The sequence below is a fragment of the Homo sapiens genome, chromosome 5 (assembly GCF_000001405.40).
Source record: "Homo sapiens chromosome 5, GRCh38.p14 Primary Assembly".
NCBI lineage: Eukaryota > Metazoa > Chordata > Mammalia > Primates > Hominidae > Homo > Homo sapiens.
In genome coordinates this window covers 125573732-125593574 of record NC_000005.10, presented here as the reverse complement: position 1 = coordinate 125593574, position 19843 = coordinate 125573732, and the positions used below count along the sequence as shown (strand labels likewise).

The 19843-nt window shown below is 38.1% G+C and overlaps 2 long non-coding RNA genes across 2 annotated transcripts in view, besides 1 other annotated feature; one reads left to right on the top strand and one right to left on the bottom strand.

Moving 5' to 3' along the window:
• The window catches only part of LOC124901056 (uncharacterized), an 891204-nt gene that overhangs the window by 776724 nt on the left and 94637 nt on the right, over window positions 1-19843 (top strand). The window lies entirely within an intron of this gene.
• The window catches only part of LINC02240 (long intergenic non-protein coding RNA 2240), a 108967-nt gene that overhangs the window by 8653 nt on the left and 80471 nt on the right, over window positions 1-19843 (bottom strand). The window lies entirely within an intron of this gene.
• Window positions 16525-16819: a silencer, noted in NCBI's record as "tiled region #7820; HepG2 Repressive non-DNase unmatched - State 24:Quies". NCBI's record gives its function as "represses a minimal TATA promoter and a strong SV40 promoter by Sharpr-MPRA in HepG2 cells {active_cell/tissue: HepG2}" and the evidence as "EXISTENCE:reporter gene assay evidence [ECO:0000049][PMID:27701403]".

Below are 19843 nucleotides of genomic sequence, written 5' to 3'. Positions count from 1 at the left end.
AAATGGTAAAGTCTCTGGTATATTTCTACATTCCCATTTCAAGCTCTTTTCTCCCCAGTAGCAACTATTGTCCTAAATTTAGAGTTTTTAAAAAATATCTTAAAAGGATTCTATACTTTCACTACATAGGTAGCCATAAAAATATATAGTATTTATAGTTACCATTTTTATATGTACTGTCACCTGGTACATAATCTTTGATGAAATACTCATTTAGTATTATAGTTTGGACTTTTTCATATTGACACATTTTAATTACTTTAATATATTCCTCTTGATTAATCATTGGTAGTTTATTCATTCTTTCCTTCGTTAATAAATAATTGTGTTCATTCCAATTTTCCACTTCGAATATGTACTAAAATTATCCTCCTTACACAAGATTCATTGTGGACTTGTGTTGGATTTTCCACATTGAATATATCTAGAAGTGGAATTGCTGAGTACTGTGGTTTATACATGTTTATTTAATTCAATAGGAATTGTCAAATTTCTCTCTGCGGCAGCTGTACAGTCCCATCAGCAGTCAGACACTTTCAGTTTTGCCAGTGGGGTAAATATGAAATGGTATTTCCTTATTTAAATTTGTAGTGAGAACCAGTGAGCGTGAGCAACTCTTTGTATGGTTATTGGCATATCCAGGTTTCTTCTTCTATAAATTACCTCTCCATATAATTTCCATTTTTCTATTGGATTCTTTATATTGATTTATAGAAATTGTTTGTGTATTATGAATACTAGCTCTATGTCAGTTGAATTGCACATAACATTTTCTAGTGTGTGATTTGTCTTTAAACTTGGTTCATAGTGTTTTTTGTCATGAAGTTTTTTAAATTTTAACATCTAATATAAAATAATCTATTCTGTAGGTTTCCGACTTATATATCTTGTTTAAAAATATTTACTTTAACAAAGTAAACTTTGTTAATACTTTGTTATTAAAGTGAGTATGTAAAGTCCTGGTTTGAAATTGGGGAGAAAGCTGAATTATATATTCTGTATCATATGCTGAATATATTTTCTAAAATGTAATTTTCTTATCTTCTTTTCCTGGGAAGAGTGGCATCGATATTTATAAGGCAATTATTATTTAAAATATTTTAAGAGCTTTTTCTCATCTGAAGTTAAGTTTAGAAAAATTCAGCAGTAAAGAAATTTGATAAAAACAAGAATTAATGGAGAGAATTTGTAAGTACAATGGAGAAAGTCAGTTGACCATCACTAAGTGACATTAAAGTCACTTGCTTCCTTTAAAAAGTACATGTGTATTTTGAATCTGCTTTTGTTGAGTGCCTACTTTTATGGCTCAGTGATCAGACTAATATTCAAATAAAAAATATGTGAAACCAAATTCATCAGGCATACATTTATATTTATAAGCTTGAAATGGAATGCCTTAAACAAGTATGGCCTAAAAGTATTAAAAATTAATCTTCTTTGTCCTAACTTTATCTTACCTTTGGGTCAAGAAAAAACAAAATGAAAACAAAACAAAAACCAATAGTACTTTATAAAAACATATTTATGTTCATTTATGCAAACTAATAGTTGTTTGGTCAAGCAGTGTCTGACAATACCTTTATTTCTTCCATTCAGTAATTGCTGGACCAGGAAAGACCTTCATACGGGGCACGTTATTGCTTAATTAATTTAGCATTAAAGCATGACAGGGTGTGTTTTAGTGTCTATTAATGAACGCCTTGGGTGTCTTCAGCTGCTCAAGGCATATATTAATAGCCCAGCAAAGCATGCCCTGGAGTCGCTTACTGTCATTTTAATATGGTTATTTAATTTGAAATTTTATCTTTAAACCTGATTTTCCAGTGAATCTATACTCTCTATTCTTCCACCATTATAAAATAGTTCTTACGGTTTGGGTTTTCATATTAAGTTATTATTCAAGGGGAGAATAGACAGCAGGACCATTTGACCTCCATTTGGTGAATGTAACATATAATTATAAACTTGCTGTGTAAATACAATAGAATAATAAAGAAAAGCTTTCTTCACCACATATATGTTTTTGGAAAACTTATCTAATGAGTAGTTATTTTCCACTCAGTAGCGTTGAGTTTTCCATCACCGACAATATTTACTGTACTTTTGTTACCCCTTGCATTAATAATAGAAATAAAAAATGTGATAAATTGGCTCTTCCCTTCTTCTTTCTAAAATGCTACTTGTGATTGAATAATGGGAATATGGCATAACTGAAAAAATGGAATGAAAGCATGTGAAGAGAGTAACTCAAAATGTCATAAGTCCCTAAACTGCACTGATGACCCCTTGTCAGGAGCAGCAACTACTCCATACCTCCAACCCCTCCCATCCTTGCTCAGACTGTGCCTTTTATGCTTGAAGCCCCTCATTTGACTTTACCTGGGGTCATTACCTTTTGAGGAGGAAGCCCCACCTCCACTAGTCTTTGTGGCCTCCAGACCTATATCAAAAGTCAGATCACACAGAATGCTCTAGGAGGCCAATTGCAAACTTGGGAGGAGACAGCTTGCACATCAAAATGCTTGTAAGATTTCTCTTCTGAATATCAGCAAATTTAAAAAATGTGTATGACAAGTAATGCTTAGGAGGTCCGATGAGGAATTTTTAAAAAAGGGTATGACAAGTAATGCTTAGGAGGTCAGATGAGGAAAAAAGGAACATGACTTTTATTAGTTTGAAGTTTTTGAAAAGTAGAGAGACTATGGCATCAGTGTCCTGGATAGAGAGTTGGAAGTGATTTGCTTGAGAGATAAATGGGTGAAGATTTCCACCGCAAGCCCACTTAGCTCACTTGGTTGATCTATGCAGAAGACACATGGGTCTGGGACAATGACAGAGATTATCATGGGCTTCATTATGTGATGTCTTCATTGAAGCTGTTATTACATGTGTGGGCAAATTAGTACAGGCCCTAGTAACTGTTATGCTGCTGCTGAGCTGAGAAATGTTTTTCCCCTCTTTATGCCAATAAACAAAGAGCACTAGAAGCTGTTTGCTTTTACCTGACAGACTATTTACCTTCATCAACTTGCATCAAGGCTGCAACAGCTATACTGATATGTTTACAGAACAGAGAGAGAGTAGTGAGTATGCTAGAAGCCTCAAAAGATAACATGAATGTCAGAGAGTAGAAAAGAAATTACTTTAAAATACAGGGTTCTGATAACTCGGTGATATTTCTGGACTCTATTAATCTATGGTATGTCAAAATAGATCCTTTAAAGTGAAAACTACATTGCTGTATCTTATACCCCCTACCTTTCAAGCAAACAAACCAAAGAATGCTTGGTAGACCTCTTTGATGTTTGGGAACAGCTTATACTTGATAGGAGAATAGAGTTTAAGAAAGGCCTCCTGCTGGTCCTGCCTGCAAGGCAAACAAAATGAGAGCACTGTCATTTATGAACCAGTGGACTCAATTGCTGGGAGTGTTTCTAGTGGATTAGGAAGCTGTCAAAACTGGTGGTAAGACACAATCAGAGAATTACAAGGAAGACCCTAGGATTTTAGAGCAAAGCCATGATCCTTTACCTAAAAACTCTTTTCCTTTTGAGAAACAGCTCTTAGTTTTGCCCTGGACACACATCAACTGAATGCCTGATCATGAAACAACATTTGACCATGTAACCTGAGATGTTCATTTTAAACCTGCCAGGAAACTCTAAGTTAGAAGACTGGCAACATCTTATCATTCATTATAGGTGGTATATCACCTATAATGTGTGTGTATGTATATCTATCTATCTATCTATCTATATCTATCTATCTATCTATCTATCTATCTATCTATCTATCTATCTATCTATCTATATATATAAAACATGGTTTGGAAGCATGAATAAACAGTGTGAGCCTTCCACTGGGAACACCTCTGTCATAAAGCCATCCCTGCTCCAGTCAACACCCATGGCTTCATGGATAGTTTCCATGGCCTGAAGGGTATGCCACTTGATGTGGTTTGGCTGTGTCCCCACCCAAATCTCATCTTGAATTGTAGCTCCCACAATCCCCATGTGTCATGGGAGGGACCTGGTGGAGGTGGAGGTAATTGAATCATGGGGATGGCTTTTTCTCATGCTGTTCTTGTGATGGTCTCATGAGATTCGATGGTTTTATAAAGGGCAGTTCCCCTGCACATCCTGTCTTGCCTGCCACCATATAAGATGTCCCTTTGCTCCACCTTCACCTTCTGCCAAGATTATAAGGCCTCCCCCACCATGTGGAACTATGAGTCCACTAAACCTCTTTTTCTTTATAAATTACCCAGTCTCAAGTATTTCTTCATAGCCATATGAAAATGGACTAATACACCATTTAAACCCGGATTTTACAAAATGTTATGCTACATGCTGACATCAGCCAGAAGTGCAGTGTTGTGACCTTTGTAGCTGTTGAGGGCTGAAGAACACTGGAAAGATTAATCCTCCAGGTGGTCATAATTCAAAATGGTGCATCTCATTGTTCACTTTGTTTGGCAAAAGAATGTCTGCTTCAGACCAGAAGCAACAGCGGTTAATTGTGTAATTGCGGAAAGAGTAAGATTTCCAGCAGAGTGGGAGTTTGGGTTTTGTTTAGAAGCAAAGAGGGTTGAGTAAGAGTTATCTTGTTGAACTTCTCAGAAGTTAAAAATGTGTGTTTTCCATGTATGAATGAACATGGCAAGGCTCCACTGTAAAGGAGATTTTCTTTTCTCAGGTAGACAACATGATCTACTACATGGATGTCAGTGTGCCGCCTTCTCTGGCAAGGAAGCCGCCTTAATGCTTTTTCAAAGGGATAATGAACAACATGGTCACAGTATAAAGGAGTAAAATTTTTCATTGGCTTGCCAATGTCCACTTACTGTGCCAAGGCTAATCGACTGTCAATCACAGGGGACCAGTTTGTTAGCACTGTGACCAATCCAGAGACCTGATATGGTCCCATACTTTACATGAGTCAGGAAACCATATGGTGATCATTTTAGTATACTTAATTATTCTTCTTCTGGAATAGACAAATATCTGTATTTAGATTCCCTTTCCTTGTCTGCCATGTTTCTGCCAATAACCTCACCTCTGGGATTTTTAAAATTAATTTATTATTAAATGTTTTACTTATCACAATCTATACAATATTTGGACTCATGGAAAGGTAAAATGTCTACCGATGCCTTAATTTTTGCAACTACTAGAAGACCTTATGAGATTGGCATCCACTTTACAGAATTTGTTCTAGAACAAGCCAATGGCCAATATTTTGTGACTTTTCTCCCATGACCAGAAAACATAAATCCGGGCAACAATGGGACAGAAGTGAGAGTGGCTTCTTCATTCTTGCAGTTAATGATTTGCTTCCCAAATTTTTGCACCACATTTCCTTTTCCCTAGACTCTACTGGTTTAGAGGTGTTAGGACCCAATGTCTCAATGTTTCCACCAGAGGATATAACAATAGTCCTGTTGAATTAGAAGCTAAGGTCATTATAGTTACTTCATGTCACTGAATAAATCGGCAAAAAGAGTTTCTCTCTGCTTACTGGGATTATTTCTTAGTTATCAAAAGAAATAGAATTGCTGTTATGTAATGGTAGCAGAGAGGAGTATGGTATTGGTGCAGGAATTGCTTACTCTATAGAAGCGTATAGAATATTCACAGAGACAGATTCCTTATTAATGAAGTATTGAGCAACCTCACCAGGCAAAGAACCTGAATCTGCTGAGATCATTCTGAAGGAAAGCAAACATAGTGTAGAAAGGATAGTGGAAGAAGGAAGTTTTTATTACCATCTATGACCTCATAACAATTACAGAAACAAAAACTGTAGAATCAGTCAGTGTTTTCTTTACTGCTGTGATGTTGCAACCCTTTCTTTTTTTGTTGTTGCTCTCAGTGTCTTATTTAGGATATCTTGGAGATGATTTATATGAAAATTTAGCTCCCAGGTTAGAGTCTATTGGAAAGAATGCTAAATACATTAAATGATGAGAATTTTGATTATTCCTCTGGAGTGGAGGACAAGCACATTTGTGTTAAGCAGTAGCACTTTGTTTTTGTTGGAGTGTGATATGGTTAGGCTTTGTGTCCTCACCCAAATCTCATCCTGAATTGTAATTCCCATAATCCCTATAAACTGCACGTGACAAGGGAGAGACCAGGTGGAGGTAATTGAATCATGGGAGTGGTTTCCCACATGCTGTTCTCCTGATAGTGAGTGAGTTCTCAGGAGATCTGATGGTTTTATCAGGGGCTCTTCTCCCTTTGCTTGGTACTTCTCCTTCCTGCTGCCTTGTGAAGATGGTGCCTTGCTTCCCCTTTGCCTTCCACCATGATTGTAAGTTTCCTCAGGCTTCCCCAGCCATGCTGAACTGTGAGTCAATTAAACCTCTTTCCTTTATAAATTACCCATTCTTGGCCAGTTTTTTATAGGAGTTTGAAAATGGACTAATACAGGGTATTTAATGTCTTTGTCTCTTTGGGCTGCTGTAATAAAGCACCATAAATGGGGTAGATTATAGACAACAGAAGTTTATTTCTCATCATTCTAGAGTATGGGAAGTCCAAGATCAGCATGCCAGTATGGTTGGGTTCTGGTGAGGGCTCATTCCTCAAAGAGAGTGTCTGCTTGCTATGTCCCTACGTGGGGCATCTCTCTAGAGTCTCTTTTATAAGGGCATTAATCCTGTTTATGAAGGCTATGCCCTCATGGCCTAATCAACTCTCAAAGGCCCTACATCTCAATATCATCATGTTGGGGGTTAGGATTTCAGTGTAGAAATTTGGGGAGGCCACTTCCCCAAAGTGGATGTTTATTCAGACCACAGCATTTTAGACTCAAAAATGGAATATTTTAATGTTTTCAGAACCACAGCATGGACTATAGTTGACATTTGTCACATAGCCCATTTAACTAACTGCTATTTTAGGTGAAGTACTTTCCCTGTAAGTGCTGAAACAGAAGAGTTCCCTGATTCCTCTCGCAGGACGTGCAACAGGGATGTGGCTTGCCTGTTTGGTTGCCCCACTGCTCAAACCCCTTACGAGAAGGGGAGCATGCAGATGGGCAGATGTAGAGGCCGGGGTTAGGGCTTTGGGTTCTGGCCCTGCGTTAGTGTCTGTCTAGAGATGGGTGCTGGCAACCCCAGTGTTATGAAGCTACAAAGCTCTTTCAGCTTGGCCACCCGCAGACGGCTGGAGTGTTAACCAGCTCAATGGACCTTCTGCTTTTTCACAAGGGTAAAGGACCAGGGGACAGCTTTCTGTATCCCGAGCTCTCTTTCAGCATCCAGGAAAAATCGGGTCACACACGGACTTGAAGGATGTATGCGAGGTTTTATTGAGTGGTGGAAATGGCTTTCAGCAAGATGGATGGGGAGCTGGAAGGGAAGGTGATCTTCTTCTGGAGCCGGGCTGCCCAGCGGCCGGACTCCTCTCTGGCCCCAGCCGAACTCCTCTAGGCATCTGAATGTCCCTCCTCTTCCCTCTTTCTCTGCCACGTTGTTCCACTGTCCGTCTGCTTGCTTTCCTCATCTCCTCACCTGCTGGTCTGCTTCTGGAGCTTGGGGTTTGGGGTTTATATGCGTGCAGGATAGAGGGCATGGTGGGCCAAAAGGCAACTTTGGGGGTGCAAAAACAGGAATGCCTGTTCTCATGTAGGGCTGCAGGTATCCAGGGTTTGAGCGTGTGGCCTTTGCCAGGGAACTGCCCTCTTCTACCCAGTATTTCCTTGCCTCCTGTCCATATCAGTAGCACCTCCCCAAGTATGAAGCCCGAGAACCACCTTTCCTGGCTTCTTTGGCCCTTGTGACCAAATCCTTTCAGTGAAGATGGTTCTTATGCTTCTTACTATGAATTCATTGTTCCTACCTATTAAGTTAATGTTTTTAACACTTCATATTTGATATATTACACTGGAAATAATCTATCAGGCTAAGGGAAATGAAAGAAATATCTATCATGCTAAGGGAAGTGAAAGAAAGGGTTAGCTTTTATTAAAGCCTTAAAAGAAGAGCAAACTTCCTAGGGGTGAGCAAGGTGAGAAGCCCCAAGAGAAACCTAAAACTCACAGGAAAGTAAGACTTGGTCACAGCGACTGGATACTTCTTGGATGCGTAGATTCTTTTCACTGCTTACACATTGGAGATCCTGAACTATAAGGAAGAGGATTGTTCTGTTACGCTTTCTCTTAAAATCAAGACAAACTTCTATGTCAGATTTTTCTAAGTGGAACTTCTATTTCTTAAGTAACAATATACTATTATTGTTAGACCCAGACATCTCAAGTGATCAAAGTCCTATAGTGAGAATTATATTGAGGATTTTTTTCTTCCAAAGATATTTTGCTTTCCAGAGAGTTTTCAAAGCTGCTCTGATTGTATTTGGAAAAGACCAGAGTGTGAATATGTAGGTGTTTGCTTTTGAGTTACAGCAAGAAATAGTCTGGGATTTTAAAGTCCCGTGCAAAACAATTTCACAGGCTCTTGAATGTGACATGAACATGAATGTAACAAATCCTTTATTATTACTCTTTCTTCACTTACTTGACACAATTATTCAAATTGTTTAGAAAAAATGTATAATATTTCAGAATGCTTTAAGAATTCCGTGTTCTCCTTAAGGTTGATCTACTTTATTCATTTTGAAGATGATCTACTTTATTCATTTATTCTATTTTGGAATGGTTAATATTCAAATACTGTGTCAGGCTTTACATTAGAATACAGTCATTTTTCCAAAAAAAAAGTGATTTTGGTATATTTATTTAGAAATCTAAAATATAATCTAGCCATGATATTGTATAAAGTGAGCCAATTTTGGAGGTTGCTAGAATCAAAGTTGAAGGTGAGCTAATTTTTTTCCCAAACAGAAAACTTTTTCAAAGTTAATTATAGATGAAAAATTACCAACAATACCAACAGATTGTCAGAGTAAAAATTTGAGTTGCTCTGCTTTTGAACACTAGGAGGGCAAAATACTGGCTGGTTTGAAAAGAGAAATGTGAATGAGAAGGTACAAAAATGAATGTTAAGTTAATCTCTTGTTTTTACCTAGCATGTGGGGGTTGCAAAAAGTGCAATCTGTGTCTTTATTTTCTTTAGATTAAAATGGTTTTTCTCAAAGGTCTCTCTCTCTCTCCCTCTATTTGTTCCTCTCCATTCCTGGCTCTTTTTCTCCTCTGGCAAACCAAAGTTTGAGGTTAAGTTTAAGTGGAGCCAAGAAATTTCTGGCTTAGGACACATTTGGCTTAGAATGAAGATTCCCATTCAACCCTTGGATCCGAAAATGACAGCTCGAACAAAACTAACACCACTTCAGCCTAAACCACATGATCGTGCTCCTCTTTAGGGGCCTGACTTTCTAGTTCACAGTGGGCAGGACAAAGTGTTACTAACATGAGCATGCAGAGAAGGGATAAATACCCATCTTGTGGTAATTTATGGATTGATCCAGTAGGGTAAGTGCAAATAGTTTGGCCTAACTACCTCCTTTTGTTATGGATAGCACCCCTTGGTAAACACAAATTTTATTTTTACTTAGAGCCCATTACAAGCCATATGGGAATCTTACCAATGCTACATGCCAGTAATGTTGGTTTAAATGCCTATAAAGTTTCCCTAGATGATCAGACTTCTATTACGTCATTACATCGATGTCCTTGGAAGAATGTTCAGAGAACCAATGCAGAGGAAAGGGTAGGGAAGCTCTCAGGAGAGCTTCATTGTAAATATAACCCTCTCTTCTTTATAATAGACTGAATATTGAGGATAACTTAGGAACTGACACACACATTATGTAATAAATTATTTTCATTTTGTCTGTTTGGCACGATTTTGGTAACTCCTTCTGTGTCTGCTCAAGCATCAGTTCCCCATATGTTGGAGGTGTCTATGCGTTTATTAGTCAGATTGGGTTGGCTGCGATTTGCAGTGTTTACCTTCACAATAGCCGTGTTCACTATATATTTCTTGAACGGGAACTTGCGCACTGCTTCCCATTTGCCTTCAATCACTAGCAGATGCAGAACAGTCAGATCATTTCCTTTTAACTGGCCTAAGGGATTAAAGGAATTCAGAGGAATTCTAAACCGAGTGGTAACTCTGTGTTGCCTGACTTCACTTCTTGAACCTTAAGCCTAAGAGGCTCGGGTAACATAATTTGACTCTTCTAAAGTGTTTGCTTCCTTTCCTTTGTTTATCTTTTAAGCTTCAACCTTCACTTACTCGTTTATTCTTACACATTCATGCTATGAGTGAATTGGTGTTGGAAGAAGTACAGCATAAGAAATTAATCTTGGTATTTCTATTAATGCTTCTTCTGACATTTTTCAAAAGACTACAGCATTGCATAGCAGACAAGTTCTTGGAGTCAAGAGAGCCAGGATCAGGTTCTGGCTCTGCACCTAGCCCACAGATGACTGAAGGCTGAGAGTGCCCTCTTAGTCTCTGGTTCCTCGTCAACAGACAATGGCTCTTAGACATCATGACCATGACCTCCCTGTCTGTGGTTACCTTCTCCAACTTCTACCTTTTGAAGTTACCTTAATTTCAAAATTGTAGATATGCACATAGATGCATGTACACATACACACATATATTAGGTCCCAAAATAGATCTGAGAATCTAGAAACAGAAAGGAGAAAACAACACTGTAAGGAGCATATGATGAAGCAGAAACTAATGAAAATGAAAAGACTGGTCATGTTGAACATGAAAATTTGGGAAAACAGAAAAAGGAGAAAAGCAAGGTAGGACCTGGAAAATACAGAAGCAAATTATAAGGAAAATAAATACAATCTTAAACCTCACTTTTCTTCACTTTTTTCCTCTAACAGGGAAATTCTATATAGATATTTTTATGGATTTATCTCTAAGTTAGACCCTGAGGTCTAGTTCTGGCCAAGAAAATATTCCCTGCTGAAGACAGAGGCCACATTTCTTTGTGGCTGAGAGTGACTGATTAAACACAGAATGTGTTGGGGCTTCTAAGACTTAGATCATTCACTCAATATATTTTCCAAAAGAAACCCTAGAATGAGGTAAGTGTTGAATTAGGATTACTGTCAGAATCCCGCAATTATTGCAAAATAGGCTTTTGTGAAATAGGATTGGGCCAGCACCCAACCTTGTCATTTTGCCAAACAAATTGGCCATTCACTTTGAAAGCTCTCTATACTTATAAAAGAACTACTAATGATATATTTCCTATTCATTTTCTTTTAATTCTTATATGATTGCCTGTTAAATATTATTTGAGGTCCAGAGCTATTTCAGATGGTTTATAAGTCTTATTTTAAGAGAAAGAAAATTACGTCCTGCAGTTTGGACGTTAGTTATAGGATCAGTGTGGATTGTAAGTCCAAATGTATAAGGTTTTGAAAAAAAGTTTCAAATGTCCAAAGCTCTATTATGCAGTATTTCTAAGCAAAATTGTTATGGTAATCTAGAAAACTCTTAAAAAAACAAAGACTTACTGATGCAATAAAATATTATCTCTAGTATGTTTCTTATTTTCATTTTGCAAAAAGAAAAAACAAAAAACTCAATTAAAAATGCATGCAGTTTTGAGCAGCAGTCATGCAGCTTACTGAATGAAGCTTTTTTATTTCTGACAACTTTATGAAACAGGTTAACATTGAACACCACGTCTAACTTCTAATATTCAAGGGTGCCACAGTCTAGTTGCTTAAACATGCCCTTTCTCATTTTGTTAATTACAATGCAGAGACTGACCAGGTGTGAAAACTGGAACACTGGGTATCTCCATCAGTTTATGTATTCATTTGGTTTGTTACTATAAACTGCTGGCTGACATTGTCACACAGTTCCTCTTCCTCTCACAAGTGTGGCTATCTTGCTTTCACCACAGTACAACTGGATTCAGTAGAAACAAAATAGCCCAATAAAACAGATGAATTCTGCTTCTTCTTTCCTTGCCCTGCCCTTTTGGCAGACAGTCAAAATTTTTTCTGTGCCAGTATTATTTTGGGTTAAAACTTTTTTTCAATGACATAAAATTCATTAGAATGACAATCTGTACAAATAAATATTTTACTGAAATACTTTACCTATTACTATGAATTTATACATGGCAGGCACTCAGAACAGTTTCTGGCACACAATATGCTCTCAATAACATTAGCTGTTCTTGTTGTATTTTATTACTATTAACATGATTCTTTCTATCTCCCCAGACCTTATTCCTTCCAATGAGGAAAGCTAGCTGGAAATCAGTCTGCCAAACCCATAAAAGAGAGGTGAGAAGGAGGGTATATATAGCAGAGAGTGAACATGAGTTCATGGGACATTCTCAATTTCAGATAACATTTTTTGAGCACTTTCTATGTGCTCTTTATATATTTTATCATAGACTTCTCTCAAAATCTCAAAGAAGTAGTTATTATTATTCTTGTTTTAAAGATGAGGAAAATGAGGTTGAGAAAGGTTAAATTGTCTGTGGTTGCAATCTAGAAATTTGAAGAGCTGGAGTCCAGGTCAAAAGTTTTCAAAACCCATGCTCATAACTACTCTTCTAGACTGCCTCCTTGTTCTGTGCCTTCAAGATGTACTCCATGTTCTCAGCCTGTAATTGAACTAGCATGATGCCTGGGACATCATAGGTCCTCAATGAATTTGTGTTAAATTGGTTTGGTCCCTATGATGCAGCGATCCTCAACCTTTTTGGCACCAGTAACCTGTTTTATGGAAGTCAATATTTCCACGGATGGGGTGGAGGGATGGTTTTGGGACGATTCCAGCACATTATATTTATTATGTACCTTATTTCTTTTATTATTACATTGTCATATATAATGAAATAATTATACAACTCACCATAATGTAGAATCAGTAGAAACCCTGAGCTTGTTTTCATGCAACTAGATAGTCCCATCTGGGGTTGATGGGAGATAGTGACAGATCATCAGGCATTAGATTCTCATAAGTAACCTGCAAACTAGATCCCTCTCATGCACAGTTTACAGTAGTGTTTGAGCTCCTGTGAGAATCTAATGCCACCAGTGCTCTGACAGGAGGTGGAGCCCAGGCGGTAATGCGAGCGATGGGAAGTGCCTGTAAATACAGATGAAGCTTCACTCGCTTGCCCACCACTGACCTCCTGCTGTGTATCCTGGTTCCTGGGGATTGGGGACCCCTGCTATGATGTATGTGGTTCTGTATTTATTGTTTTGTGAAACACAGTGAGCTGTAATAATAGATATGATTTATATGATGGCCACCATATGCCAGTTACTGAGTCTTTCTATTTACACACATTTTCTCATTTATTTCCTGTAATAACACACTTATAGAAGAGGCATTGTTGGCCAGACAGAATGGCTCACGCCTGTAATCTCAGCACTTTGGGAGGCCAAGGTAGGCGGATCACTTGAGGTCAGGAGTTCTGCCTGAGCAACTTGGCAAAATCCTGTCTGTATAAAAAATACAAAAAAGAGCCAGGTATGTTGGTGTGTACCTGTAGTCCCAGCTACTCGAGAGGCTGAGGTGGGAGGGTGGCTTGAGCACAGGAGGCAGAGGTTGCAGTGAGCTGAGATTGCTACACTGTACTGCAGCCTGGGTGACAGAGCCAGGCCCTGTCTCAATAAATAAATAAATAAATAAATAAATAAATAAATAAATAAGACATCATTATGCCAGTATTGTACGTGAAGAATTTGAGATTCCAAATGCTTATACAATGTCCCATAATAAATAACAGAGCCAGGATGGAACCTGGTTCCTGGGGATTGGGGACCCCTGCTATGATGTATGTGGTTCTGTATTTATTGTTTTATGAAACACAGGGAACTGTAATAATAGCTATGATAACAGAGCCAGAATGGAACCTGGGGCTGTCTGATGGCCATGCTCTCCCTGTTCTATGACATCATGCTGCCCAATAGAGCTGGCTTCTGTTGTTAGGGATCCTGGAATGTCAAAGACCTCATTGCCTTTGTATCTTCAGCAAATAGGACGGTGCTTTATACCTGTAGGATTTTAATAAATATTTGCCCATTCATTCACTTCAACAAACAGACGGTTGTCTCATGCTCATGTCTCTGCTTTCATCTGTAGCATTCTCTACTCTTTACTGATCCCATTGCCTCCTGCCTGGCGTGCCTTTCCCATAATTCTTATTTACCTAGGCCTTTCCATTCTCCTACTTTACATTCATAATTTACCAGCTGCACAAAAGCTTCCCAGGCCACGACAATCCAAAACGATTTCCTCCTCTGAAGTTTGAGAGCCCTCATTCTCTACTCTACTTACTTGGTACTTATTACTAACTTTGGCTGGCTATTTTCCAAGTTTTATAAGCTTTTTTGCCTCCACACTAGTTACAAGCTCCTCCAGGGCCGGAACTATTTTATATAAATGTGTGTTTAACATAGTCACCAAATTAGTGCTTTTTACATAGTGAGTTTTCAGTTTACTACAAAGACAGCTTTATTACCTGTTACATTTCTGTGGGAAGGAAAATCATTTGGTTCATATTGCTGTTCAGTTAACTCAGGTGCAAAATGAAATTTCCATTCTACAGAAGAACACATTCAAAGTTAGGCTGTGTGTATATATGTGTGTGTGTGTAAATATTCCAAGCATACATAGGTTAGAAAAATGTGAACCAAAATGATAGAATTTTTAGAAAAAGCTTGTGATGAATGTCACATTGTCAGGACAGATTAGTACTTAGTGATATGGGGAGAGGGGTGTGATAATAGCCCCAGTGATATGAAACTTGGGTCTGTATGAGAGCATTTACTATGCCAGCAATCGCAATGGATAATTCACTGCTACATATGGTGAGAATGTGCTAAAAGTGAGTTGTTAATCTACAGGGCAAATTTCCAATTGGGAGTGGGCAAAGCCTTGACTCATACCATGTCATACATTGCTGAAGAGTTTCTTTTTAGGGTAGCCTCAAACCACTATTAGTAAAATTACATTAAATTCAGAAAAAATAAATGTGTCATCTTGATTGCTGCCCAACCTCTATGCCACTATTCTTTGTGTATTATTTTCTAGAGTTGGTGCCATTTACTTTGATTTATCTAGTCATTTTCTCTAGGAATCCTGCTCAAAACCAAGAGAAAAGACATGTTCCTGAAATGGTTAATTCATCCATTTTTCTAGTTACCTTCTAGTGGAGTCTACTCCTGACATCTTTTTTAGATCATTTCTATTCTTTTATCCTGTAGCATCTTTCTTTCTGCTCTTATCACAAAGTCCTCCTGCTAGAAAGCAGTAATTGTGCTGATTGACACCTTTACAAGGAGTTGAAGATTTTGTTTGTTTTGGTTTTGTTTAATTGGGATACTTTAATATAGAGTATATAGAAGTCTAGTATATAAAAAAGTGGATTAAAGTTTTTACATGCTGAAAAGCCTAATTCTGTATAAAGATGATCTATTTCACATATATCATCAATGCTTAAATATTATTAAAAGACAAATGCTGGCTTAGAAGGATCAAACATCACTTCCAAGTTTAAAACACAAAGTTCTTATAATGCTGTTTGCAATATGTCATCATATACATACATTTCAATGATTCAGCTGCTTCCTTAGTTTAAATTAGCAATGGTTCCCCATCACTGTTATCCTCTTACTTGGCTCAACCCCCACTAACACCAAAAAAGTAGGAGATATGATTGTTTTGTATGATGATTTATGCTCAAAATATTTCCTAAAGGTGGTAGGAAAGGTGTCTTCTCCCTCTCTTGCATTTTTCCCAGCCATTGTATTTCATGTTGCTTTGGGTCTGGAAAGCTGCTCTATTTCCAGATTAATATGTAAGTAGGGTAGAGGACACCCTTTTTGGCTTTCCATTGTATTTTTATTATTTCTTAGATAATCTCTTGTAGTAGAAGTAGCTTCCAGGATCTTTATGCATCAAAAGCCTTAGAACCAGTAAGTACATTTGCATTGCAATTCTTCAATAGTAAAATCACGGTGTGTTGTGCATTTAGAAAACACCAAAAATACATGAGTCTTTCTGATCTATTTTCCTTCTACATAAATCTAATGCCATTTGAAGAGAAATGAAGAGAAAGACTGGAGAGACTTCAAAATATCTTTTGCAGAAAGTATGGAAGGATTAATAGATAAAGACAGTACATTCCGTTTAGCTTTCTCGTGGTTTTTTTTTTTTTTTTGTAAATTTACCCCAAATTATAGTTATAATGAAACATCACAATGCTATTATGTTAGAAAGAAGCTATTATTTCCATCCTTGCTGTGAAACCTCAGGGAAATTTACATCTTCTAAACATAAGAACCTTTCTGATATTTTTTCAGCTATAGAAGAATAAATAATAAGAGTCACAAAAAAGATATTTGAAGTCTTTGTCAGACTAGTAAATCATTTCTCAGTAGAAAATATAATTGTGGCCATGAACTTGACCAAAGAAAGAAAAATATTAAAACCTCTCTGCTGCGACTGAATTAAGGAAGGACCAGTACTTGCAAGAGTTAACTGTTGCTCACACCCTTCCTTCAGATTGATCCACTGATCTGAAGCTCAGCCTCCTTCAACACGGCTCCTAGCTTTTGCTTTGCCAGTCTCTGCCAAGAAACACCAGCTTTGGACAAAAATCAAGATTACACAAAGCTAAAGGGAATGTGAGAGATAAGAATCCTAAAGTGACAAGGTCTTCCTTGGAGATGTTAATAGTCAACACATTCAGGAATATCACAGAAAAGGAGCCGATCCTTTGCCAGTGTGTGCTCTATCTTCTACCTAGTGCCAGTCTTAATATTAAACATATAGACAGGCTTTAAAATCTTTTCCTTTCCTTTTGTTAAATTGGGATTGTTTTCAGTGGACTGGCAAAAGAGAGCTGTCTAATTTTAGTAGCATAAAGGAAACTCCTTTGTGGCTGCTTTATGCTGAATTTTATTCCCTGAACTTGTGTGGGTTCCTGTGCATGAAAAGGGGCATATTTTATGTACCCCCAAAAACAGAATATGGGAGAGGAAGAGAGTGCCAGGGGAACAGATTCTGGAGGCAGAACTAAACTAAAATGGCTTTGTCCTATTTTTTTTATTTTTATTTTTTACAAAACTCAAGGCAAATAACCCTACTATTGGATTATTTTTAAAGAGACTAAACCTCAACTGAATTACATTAAAAAAAAAAACATCTCAATAGCCCAGCTAAAAATCTAAGGATGTTGAGTGCATCAAGCTCTTGGGAAGCTTTGTCTCACAGCTCCAAGAGCATGTTCTTGGTGCTGAGGGGCAAGGTTTGCACTAGGATCTCACACCCTACACTGCAGCATCACAGCTGCCCCAGGCTTTGTCTCATCTTTTTGCTCTGTTCTCCTTAAGTCAGAAATAAAAGGAAGAGATGATGAAGCCTGTCCCCATAAGGCTGGTGTGAGGTGAGAGCGGGAAGGTGGAGGTGCAGGGGAGGAAGGACTTTATGCTGCAGCCAGTCAGCGCCAGAAAATGCCATTTATGTGGATCCAGTGCTCACTGAGGAAGCAGAAATAAAAGCCTCTGATGTGATGTGGCGCCGCCCCTCTCCTGCTGCACTCTCGCTCATTACAGCTCTTTCTTTAAACTGCTGGGTAGACAGCTGGCAGCCAGTGCCTCGGAGGAAGCAGGAGTAAGGGAGCATATAAATTACTGTTGCATTTTACAGCTAAGATAAACGCAAACTGCAGGGTTATAGCCTGAAATGACATCAAGGGGAAGCTCCAGCAGGCCTCTCAAAAGAACAAGGAATGGAAAATGGATAGAAAGATTTATTCAGGGAATATGGGATCATGGAGAAGGAAAAAAAAAATCTAAACAAGTTGTGTAAAATCTGCTGCTTTAGTGAGTCTTAAAGAGCTTATGTCAGCTTAATTCTGTGTGGTAGCATAATGTAAATCTATGGGAAATGGGGCTGTAGGCATATCTACTCTATTCCATTTCTGCAGATTGCCAAACATGGCAATAAATGTCAAGTGATTATTTATTTGATCATTAGAAACTTCATTAGATTTTGATTTGATGCTCTACAACCTCCCCCCTCTCCACCACCACTAAAAAGAGAGCTCAATTTTGAAATTCAATCCAGCTAGTTTGATTGGAGAAAAAAATGTTATGAAATAAAATCTAGCAAATACCAACATGTAGATGACAACATTCTGCATAAATATAGAAAATCCTCTCCAACAAGTTTACAGCAATTTGCTCAAGCGATGAAAGATAGATTTTGGCAACAGTGGTAAAATTTTTGGAAGTCTTTTTAACATTTCATTAGATGAAAGGCTGTTTTTGAGGTGAGCTCAAACTCCCTGGCTACAGACAGAGTCTGATTGTATGTTCTTGGCTTAACAGCCTTAGCATATAATGTATTTGAACTTTCACTCAGCTTTCTTGAACTTGATTTATTTGCCATCATATCACCTGGGAAAAAAGTCTGTGGGTCCTCAGTTGGCCTAGGTAATTTGGGACTCAGCTGGTTGATGCCTATGTGTTTGTTTCACCCTAGCTCAAAGCATAGAACCTGAGCCTTATTATGTTCATAAAATGGGGTCTTTTTACTGTAGTGAGCAATGTCAGATATACCGTTTACAGCTGACTTTTTCATTGCGATTTTAGTTTCTCCGGTGCATTTCACACTACGGTTTTCCTAAGAATTATGTATAACATGGAAAACAAAGAGAGGAGGAGAGAGAAAGTGCTGCAACTAGCTTTCTTCCTCAGGGAACAGTACTTGCATGTCAAAAGATTCACCAAATAGGCATTGGACTGACTTTCATAAAACCAGGGATATAAGCACAGTGTGGGGTGTGTATTATTGCCACAGAGCACACGCTAGAAAGCAGCATAAAGAGACAAGCTTTATCTCTCTGCCTGAAACTCTCTTGGAACCTTCTGGGAGTGCACATTCTAAATCAAGAATCAAAACGTTTTCCCAGCACAACTGCAAATTGAAAATAGGCACTTGAACACAGGCAGAGATGTAAAGGAAGAATGACTTTGAAATGCCTACAACGCACCCCGAGCCACCCTGGGTCTTTCTGTAGACATAAGGAGTATTCATCTACGGTAAAGGGTATGTAGCACTTGGTAGAAACAAATGACAGCTGACAAAAAGATCCATTAAATGCCTGAACTTGCCCCTTGCCAGCACAGAGTATTTTTCTTTTCCTATTTTGCCAGAATAAAGAGAGGGCAAGACATTTTTATTTCAAGAAGTGCCCCATAGCCATAGATTTTTGTTTCTGTTTTCCTCTAGCACTTTCTAGTATACTGTAATTGAAACAACAGCCTAAAAGCATTTCTTTTATTAATCTTAGTAGTGTAAAACATTGAAGAAAACAAACTTAGGAATATATTATTGTGCTGCATGGTTAACAACAACAACCACAACCACAACTTGCAGCTAAGGAAATCATTCCCCTTTTGGGGGAAGTCTCTATCATAAAAAAAAAAAAAAATTCATTGCTGCGTATCAGTCAATAACACTTCCTGGGCATATTCCTGATGAATAACTCTGTACTAGGTGCAGCTGGCAAGCTGAAAAAGCAACAACCATCAAAGGTCTGGGGTCCAGTTAGAAAAACTGGTCAACCTAGGGAGGGAAGGTGAATGTACCAACACACTCTTTGCTGAAAAGAGAAATAAAAGTTAAAGGATGAGCTTGAGGCCTGAGGCCTTTGTGAGTAAAGAATGAGCAGCTAGGTGAGTGGTTTCTCCTTTATGCAGGAGCGTTTGAAAGGATCTGCAGAGTATGCTGGCAGAGAAAAGGAGAGAGGGAATAAAATGTCTATGGCCCGGAGAAAGAGGCATGTTCTGGATGAAGAACTGGGAATGGGCTTAGATTTTGTTGCTTATACATTATCTGTGAGAGAAGTGAGCAATACCAGTGAGTTCA